The sequence below is a fragment of the Homo sapiens genome, chromosome 13, assembly GCF_000001405.40.
Source record: "Homo sapiens chromosome 13, GRCh38.p14 Primary Assembly".
Classification (NCBI taxonomy): domain Eukaryota; kingdom Metazoa; phylum Chordata; class Mammalia; order Primates; family Hominidae; genus Homo; species Homo sapiens.
Window position 1 is genome coordinate 25067078 of NC_000013.11, and position 9024 is coordinate 25076101.

The 9024-nt window shown below is 42.2% G+C and overlaps 1 annotated feature.

Annotated features, from left to right (window-relative positions):
* Positions 299-1195: an enhancer, noted in NCBI's record as "NANOG-H3K27ac hESC enhancer chr13:25641514-25642410 (GRCh37/hg19 assembly coordinates)". NCBI's record gives its function as "activates a minimal SCP1, AML or CMV promoter by ChIP-STARR-seq in primed H9 embryonic stem cells {active_cell/tissue: H9 hESC(primed)}" and the evidence as "EXISTENCE:reporter gene assay evidence [ECO:0000049][PMID:30033119]".

The following is a 9024-nucleotide window of genomic DNA, read 5'->3' on the forward strand; positions in this document are numbered from 1 at the left end:
GGTGCCCCCCACCCTACCCTGGCTAAGATGGGAGAAGCTGCACCTGGGAGGGAACCAAAGGTGCTGGTGGAGAGGGAAGCTGAGATTAAGCCGCTGGTTTTTGCAAACACGGCATTCCTTGATGTAGTCAGCCTCAGGCACTCTGAGTCCAGAGAGTAGGAGGGGATGGATTAACATTACAGTGCACAGACTCCAGAGGGAACTGAGTAACAAAAGACACCCAGACAGGCCCTCCTCACCACCTGGACCAGAAATATCCGGTCAGCCTGTTTCCCTAAATTGTCCCCAGGCTCCTCCCTGTCTGGTTCTCAGCCAAGAAGAGGACCAGGTGGCTTGGCTTCCTGCTTTCTGGAGACTTTTGTCCTGAGTAAAGCTCCATGAGGTCAGTGAAGCCAAGTGGCAGCCAGTCCCAGTACCAGCCACAGGTGCCAGAATGTGCAATGATTACCAGCTTAGAATCTCACCCTGAACCTCACTAGGCTGAACTCACTGCAGTTTCCCAAAGTTCCCTGTTTGGGGGTTGCAAACCTTCTGCCAAGAAAACCCTTTTGCTCCCAACTGGTTGGCTTGGCTAAGCTTGGAACTCAGCTAAAGCAACACCACCTCCAGGAAACCTCTAGACACCCACAGCCTGGGACCTCCTGCGCATCCACAGCATCTTGTGCAGAGCTCCAGCGCCACACAAATTCCAATGGAGAATGTCCTGTTGGCTCAGCTGTCACCTCCCTAGACTGTGAGCTACTTGAAGGCAGGAACTACCCGGGGGTCACAGGTCTGGAATACATGAGGCACTTAATAGATGTGTATTGAATGAATCTGTGAAAAGAGAAAGAGGTAGGTACAGGTAAATGTTAAGAAAATGCAGAGAATGAAGCATTTATTTCCACTAAATTCCTTGGGGAAGAAATATTTGAATAACTCCATGAAAGGCGAGATTGGATTTAGCAGGTAGAAGCTGGGCAGAGGGAGGACCCTCCAAGGTGCAGGAAGTGCAGGAGGGACGGATGGGTAGGCAGCGCTGGTGGCCTCTGCCACCTGCCCGCCACTGTGGCCTTGAGCAATCTACCAAGCCCTGTGCATCTCATTCCTCATTAAGAAGGTGGGAATAATAACAGTACCCATTTCACAGGTTCTAAGGACCAGATGAACTAACACACTCTCAGGGCTCAGAACAGGGCTTGACATGTATAACCATCCATAGGCATATCAGTTGCTATCAACACTGTTATCATTATAAGTACAAATAACAAAAGTAGCAGACATTCTTAGACGGAAAAATGGAAAATGGTCTGCATTAGATGCCCTTTTGTTTGGTAGCCCCTATTCTAGATTTACCTGACAGTACCACTTTCAAATAGAGCATTCCAAATTTTCAGTTTGACTCACTATTTTGTTGTCAGTGCACCCTCGGAAAGAGGTCACTGAATCTTTTTATTTGGGGATCTAAAATGATCCGGATTTTAACACTAGATAAGATTCCTCTCAATTTCACTCCAAATTGAAAAAAATGGCAGAGTATGGATTAATTAGATAAGCAGTGAGAAGACACACACACACAGGCACACACGCACGAACGCACACACACGGACATGCATGCATGCACGTGGACACACGGGCACACACGCACACGGACACACACATGCACACGCGCACACACACGTCACACGCACACAGACACGCGCACACACAGGCACACAAGCAGGAGTTCAAGGCTGCAGTGAGCTGTGATTGTGCCACTACACTCCAGACTGGGCGAAACAGCGATTCCCTGACTACTGAAAAAAAAAAAAAAAAAGTCTGCGGATGGTTTTGGGTGGGCCACGGTTTACCAGGAACAGCGACTGGCCGGTTTGTAGATGTCGAAGCACCAGTTTCCAGGAATTGAAAGCATGGCTCCCGCAGTTGCGCGCGGGGTGAGCTGCGGAGGCACGGCCCCGAAGTCCGCGTGCTCCAGTTCCGCCTCTCAGCTCAGGAACTCTTTGAAGGGGACGCATTCGGGGTGGGGGCAGCGGCACACGTTTGTACTTTGAAGGGAACCGTCCGGCAGCCGTGGAAACAGGGGCAGGGAGGTTGTGAGGAGACCCCCGAGGGGTTTTGCAAACTTTCCAGAAGGAAACTTCACTCCTCGCCCTCTGCGGAGCCCCACACAAAGAGGGGCCACTACTTCCTGCGAAGACAACTCCAGGAGCGGACAGAACATCCGTGTCTGCATGAGAGTCCATTCGGATGCAGGCCGGGGTTCTTCAGCCCAGGGCCCACCCTCCGGAGGTGAAGAAACGCACAGTGCTGTGCCCGCCGCGGCCCGGGCTAGCCACCTGCGTGGGCAGGCGTGGTTAGGCAGCGCTCGTGGCCTCTGCCACCTGCCCGCCACTGTGGCCTTGAGCAATCTACCAAGCCTTGTGCATCTCATTCCCCATCAGGAAGGTGGGAATAATAGCAGCACCCATATCACAGGTTCTAAGGACCAGATGAACTAACACACTCCCAGGGCTCAAAACAGCAGCTCCGGGCTCACCGCAGCCCGGCCGGACTTGTGGGTTCCTTGGCTCAAGTACGCAAAAACCACGGCTCTGGAGGTTCACTGACGCCGGCCAGGTGCACACACCTCGCTGAAACCGGCTGGTGCACCTCCACACTTAAACATTTTCCGTGACCTCTCCACGGATTAGTACTGATAAGACACATTAGATAAAAAGCGTCTCTCAGAGGATAATTGTGCTCTTACCAAAGCACTTCCTAGTTAACTTGAAACTCCCTGATAAAGCCTTAAGGGAACTGAAGTAATGAATAAATCATCTTCTTTCAAAAAAAAATTGTGATATAATTGTATACAGTAAAACATGCAAATCTTAAAAGTATAGTTTCATAAGCTTTAAAAAAGGTATAGACCCGGCTAATTAACTACCTTCATAGAGAACATTCCCTTCAGCTCAGAAAGTTTTCTCCCCCACCCCTTTCCAGTCCTTCCTCCTCACCCGGCAACCGGGGGCTTTGGTTCCTGTTTCATAGGTGAGCGCTGTGGCCGCAGCGCTTTACACACAGGGAACCCTGCGGAGGGACTCCCTGGTGTCTGGCTTCCGCTGAGTGTGATGCTTTGAGATTCATCCATGCTATGAGTGTACTGGAAGTTTGCTCCATTTCACTGCCTAGTAGTAATCATCTTTAAATGGATGATTGATGTATTTCAGCAGGCTTTGCCATATCATTATTCATTAATATTTTCTCCATTGAAAGAATATTCATATTTTAAAATTTACATTTCTCACGTTTACCGTGATCTTATTTCTTCTGTAGAATTAAGATATAAACGATCTTCTTCCAGTAACATATCAATAGACTGACAATATTCTAGGCTAGAATCGCTAAACACTAATTGATGGGCTCAGCGCCCCATTGTTGATAACTAAGGCCATCTGCTTCAAATTGTCATTGTAGAGGGAAACAAAATCCCAATTACAAGGTAAAGCTTCTATAAGTTTAGCTGATGTTGACAGACTGTGGAAGTAAGGAAGTGTTTCTGTGGATGAATTGCAAATGAAGGCAGCTGCACCCTGAGAAAAACTGAAACATTTTACCCTAAAAAAAGAGAAAGGAATGTGTCTTCCGGAAATAGTGTAGCTATTTGAACATTGTGACCCGGAACATGATAGCTCCACCACAGCACCAACTAGCGAGTGCCAAGTAAAGGTAAAATCTAAGGAGACTGGGTGGCCAGGAGGAGGGCATAGAAGCTCCAGGATGTCACCAGAGATGACAAAGGGAGGTGGAAATCATAGTTTTAGCTCCATTTTATAGTTGTAGGTAGAAGCGAATATTGCCACCCTCTCTGTGCTCTGTTGCCTTCACAAAAAAGAAAGATTGTTCAGAGGAAATTATGAGAAAAATCACTGAGTTTGTTGAAAATGTGTAGCTACTGAGAGTGCAAGTAACTAGGATTGTAGTGGGCATGTTTCCTTCACAGGATGCTTTACAAAATCTTGGGCGTCGGCCGGGCGCGGTGGCTCACGCCTGTAATCCCAGCACTTTGGGAGGCCGAGGCGGGCGGATCACGAGGTCAGGAGATCGAGACCATCCCGGCTACAACGGTGAAACCCCGTCTCTACTAAAAATACAAAAAATTAGCCGGGCGTAGTGGCGGGCGCCTGTAGTCCCAGCTACTTGGGAGGCTGAGGCAGGAGAATGGCGTGAACCCGGGAGGCGGAGCTTGCAGTGAGCCGAGATCCCGCCACTGCACTCCAGCCTGGGCGACAGAGCGAGACTCTGTCTCAAAAAAAAAAAAAAAAAAAAAAAAAAATCTTGGGCGTCTGATATGAACATTTCTGTACAACTTAGTATATGTCCAGTCCTTCAAGTGCCTAGCCAAGGACAATGCAGTGTATTCAATTATGAGTGAGGTTTAAGAAAACAAAAAGGAAAAGACACGCAGTTTCAACACAAAGAAGCTATTTAAATCATGTGAAACAGAGCACCAGAACTTACCAACAAATGAAAAATGTGAATTATTTACCATTAAATTAAAATAATGTATGGAGGGGCTGGGTGCGGTTGTTCACGCCTGTAATCCCAGCATTTTGGGAGGCCATGGCAGGTGGATCACCTGAGGTCAGGAGTTTGAGACCAGCCTTACCAACATGGTGAAACCCGTCTCTACTGAAAATACAAAAATTAGCTGGGCACGGTGCTGCATGCCTGTAATCCCGACTACTCAGGAGGCTGAGCCAGGAGAATCGCTTGAACCCAGGAGACAGAGATTGCAGTGAGCCAAAATTGTGCCATTGCACTCCAGCCTGGGCAGCAAGAGTGAAACTTCATCTCAAAATAAATAAAATAAAATATTGCAGGGAGCAAACAAAAAATGTGACTAAACACCATAAATTCAGAAAATTTATAGAAGCAATTGACACATTTGGAAAAATCACAGTTGGCAAAGTCATATAAACAGGTCTCATTTCCAGCAGATAATTAACAGTATAAAAGTAAACAGTAAGGGAGAGAATATTACTAACTAAAAATTTGATTGGTGGATAATAATAATAACATTAATATTATTTTTGAAACCGAGTCTTGCTGTGTTGCCCAGGCTGGAGTAGAGTGGCATAATCACAGCTCACTGTAGCTGTAGCTGGGACTACAGGTGCATGCCACCACACCCAGCAAAAAAAATTTTTTTTTTTTTTGATAGTAACAGGTTCTTGCTATGTTGCCCAGGCTGGTCTCAAACTCCTGACCTCGAGTGATCCTCCCACCTTGACCTCCCAAAGTGCTGGGATTACAGGCATGAGCTACTATGCCTGATCAGATAATATTATTAATGAAAAATTTCTCATAGCAGGGAACTAGTATATACCATATGAAGAAATACAGGGAATAGGGTATTATATAAAGTGATAATTATGAAGATATTTTCTAGACCAGAAATATAAACCTTTCTGAATTTTATAAGAACATCACAGAAAGTACAAAATAAGAAAAACAAATGACTTAGTGAAAGATTTTAAAAAACTGTAAAAATAGAAAATAAATCAAAATGATACAATCAGCCTAAGAAGCAACATATTGGGCACATCAGTCAATGCAAATGGGCTGACTCACTTTTTAAAAGAGTGTTAAATTAGATGAAAAAGCATATCTCAATTCCATGCTATCTATAAAAGACGTACCTAAAATGTGTGATTCAGAAAGTTTGAAAAATAAGAGAATTAGCATAGATATTCCAGGAAAATACAAACAAAAATCAAGGTCACAAACTCGATATGAGATGTGATGAAATTCAAATGAAATGTATTACATAGGAACCAAAAAAAAGCAATTTATGATACTCCAAGGAGTGTAATTCACAATTTAGATATAACAGTTATGAATACTTAAGTACCAATAATATTCATAAAGCTGAAATTACAGGCATTACAAGAAGGTAAGGAAGAAATAACACCACTCATAGCAGACTTCAATTCACTTCTTTCAGCCCATGGCAGATCATGTAGAAAAAAATAAATGTAAGTATACAGAATATTTCTGTAAACTCTGTAATCTGAAGACATAAGTCTTTCTTCAAATGTTCATGAAATGGCAATAAAAATAACCACTTATTAGACCACAAAAAAATCCAGTAAGTCCCAAAATGTAGGAAAAAAGACAAATATGATTTTCTGATCACAATATCAATAAACTAGTAATGAGTAGGAAAACCAGACATTTAAAAATACTCTTTTAACTAGACATTTTTAAAACTCTCTTAAATCATTCTCCATTAAAAAAGAAATAGAATCCATAATTGCAGAATTCTGAGAAACCAACAAAATGAGAATGCTACATATTGGAGTCTACAGGATTGAACTGAAGCAGAATCCAGAATAAAATTCTAACTTTAATAATAATATAAATCTAAACAAGGGAAAGAAAGAAAGTACTCAAATGTTTAAGAGAGAGCGAGAAAAGGAAAGCAAAAACAAACAAAAAAACAAAACAAAACAATAACAACAACCAAAAAAAGAAAAAAAACAGAACGCGACAAGCCCTAAGGATTAAAAATAGAAACTAAAGTGTTTTTTTTGACTAGGGCAGTAATAAAGAAGTAAATGAATTTCAAAGTAGAAAAACTCTAAAACTAATAATACATAAAGCCAGAAGTTGATACTTTTAAATAAACCAACAAAATAGACAAACCATTAACTAACCCCCCCTCAAAAAGAGGAAGGAATAAAAGAAGAAAGGGGAAAATAATAAACAAATCAGAAAACATGATGTCAAAACCTGAAAATAATGCACAAAAGAGAAAAGTCAGACACACTTCTCACTTATAAATACTGACTTTAAATTTTGAAAATAAGAACCTACTAGAAAAATCTAGCACCACATTAAAAGAGTAACATAACACAACTGGTTGGGCTTTATTTCAGCATTGAAGGTTGAATGTTAGAAATATTTTAATGTAATACACTAATTTATCATATATTTACCTTAATGAATTCTGAAAATGATTTTGAAATAACCACTATTTCTTATTTTAAAAATAATAAAACATAAATAGATATTTCTTTTTTTTGAGTCGGAGTCTTGCTCTGTCACCCAGGCTGGAGTGCAGTGCTCACTGCAAGCTCTGCCTCCCGGGTTCACGCCATTCTCCTGCCTCAGCCTCCCAAGTCGCTGGGACTACAGGCGCCTGCCACCGCGCCTGGCTAATTTTTTGTATTTTTAGTAGAGACGAGGTTTCATCATGTTAGCCAGGATGGTCTCGATCTCCTGACCTCATGATCCACCTGCCTCAGCCTCCCAAAGTGCTGGGATTACAGGTGTGAGCCACCGCGCCTGGCCATAGATATTTTCTTAATATGATAAAGGATATTTCTATCTTAGCTTAAACAATAGCACCAGGATTTCCGGAGACACACTAGTGATATCCTAACCAATTTCAGAATAAATCATGGATGCCCATACTTACCACTGTTATTACTGGAAATCTTAGTGCATTTAGACAAGAGAAAGAAATCAGATATATATACATTGTAAAGATGATGTATTAGTCCCTTTTGTACTGTTAGAACAGAATACCACAGATTAGATAGCGTATAAACAATAAAAAATTATTTTTCACGGTTCTTGAGGCTGGAAAGTCCAAGATCAAGAGACCTGCATTGGTGGGGGCCTTCTTGCTGTGTCATCCCATAGCAAAAGGTAAAAGGACAAAGGAGGGCAAAAGAGAGGGCAAGAAAAGGTTGAACTCATCCTTTTATAAGGAACCCAACCTATAGTAATGAACCCACTCCTGTGACAACATCATTAATTCATTCATAAGGGCAGTGCTCCATGACCCAAACACCTCCCATTAGGCCTCACTGCCCAACACTGCCACATTAGGGATCAAGTTTCCAACGCATGAACTGTGGGGGACACATTCAAACTATAGCAGATGGTAAAAATATCACAGTTGGAAGATGATATAATTATATCCCAAGAGAATCAATTTTTAAGCTATTAGAAACAAGGAAATTCAGGAAATAACAATGTAAACAATTACTATACAAAGAGGGAGGCTGGGCACGGTGGCTCACATCTGTAATCCCAGCACTTTGGGACGCTGAGCAGGCAGATCACTTAAGATTGGGAGTTTGAGACCAGCCTGGCCAATATGGTGAAACCCTGTCTCTACTAAAAATACAAAAATTAGCCGGGTGTGGTGGCAGGTGCCTGTAGTCACAGCTACTTGGGAGACTGAGGCAGGAGAATAGCTTGAACCTGGGAAGCAGAGGTTGCAGTGAGCCAAGATTGCGCCATTGCACTCCAGCCTAGTCATCACAGCGAGACTCTGTCAAAAAAAAAAAAAAAAAGCAGGGAGACATTTTTGGTGATGCAGGTATGAAGAGGATGACAATTCTTTCCACAGACAATGACGAAAACAGAGCAAAGTTATTAAAAGGCAACAATTTGCAAGCCCTGAAAAATGACCAAAGATAGACAAAAGCTTGAGAAGGGTTTACAATAACTGAAATAAAAGACCACCATGTGAGCTCAATGGCAGAATGTAGGTGACAGAAAAATCAGCCAGTGAACTTGAAGATAGAGCTATAGAAATTATTCAACTGAAAAATAAAGAATAAAATATTGAAAAAAATGAGCAATGCCAAGAGACCCGAGGAGCAATATCAAGCAGTCTAACATACCCGTAAACTGGAATCACAGAGAGGAAAGAGAAAGAGAGAGAGAATATTTGAAGAAATAATAATAAAAAGAGATCTCAAATTTGATTCATAAAAATCAACAAAACTCAATAAAAACACATTTGGATACATCATATCTAAGCTACAAAAAGTCAGAAATAAAGAAAAAATGTTGAAAGCAACAAAATAAAAATTACATGGAATGGAGAAAGGAAATGACGACTGACTTCCCATCAGACAATGGATGCCAGAAGACACCGGTGTTTATATTCAAACTGCTGAAAGAAAAAACATGTCAAAAAAGAATTTTAGGCCAGGCACAGTGGTTCACACCTGTAACCCTAGCATTTTGAGAGGCCAAGGTGGA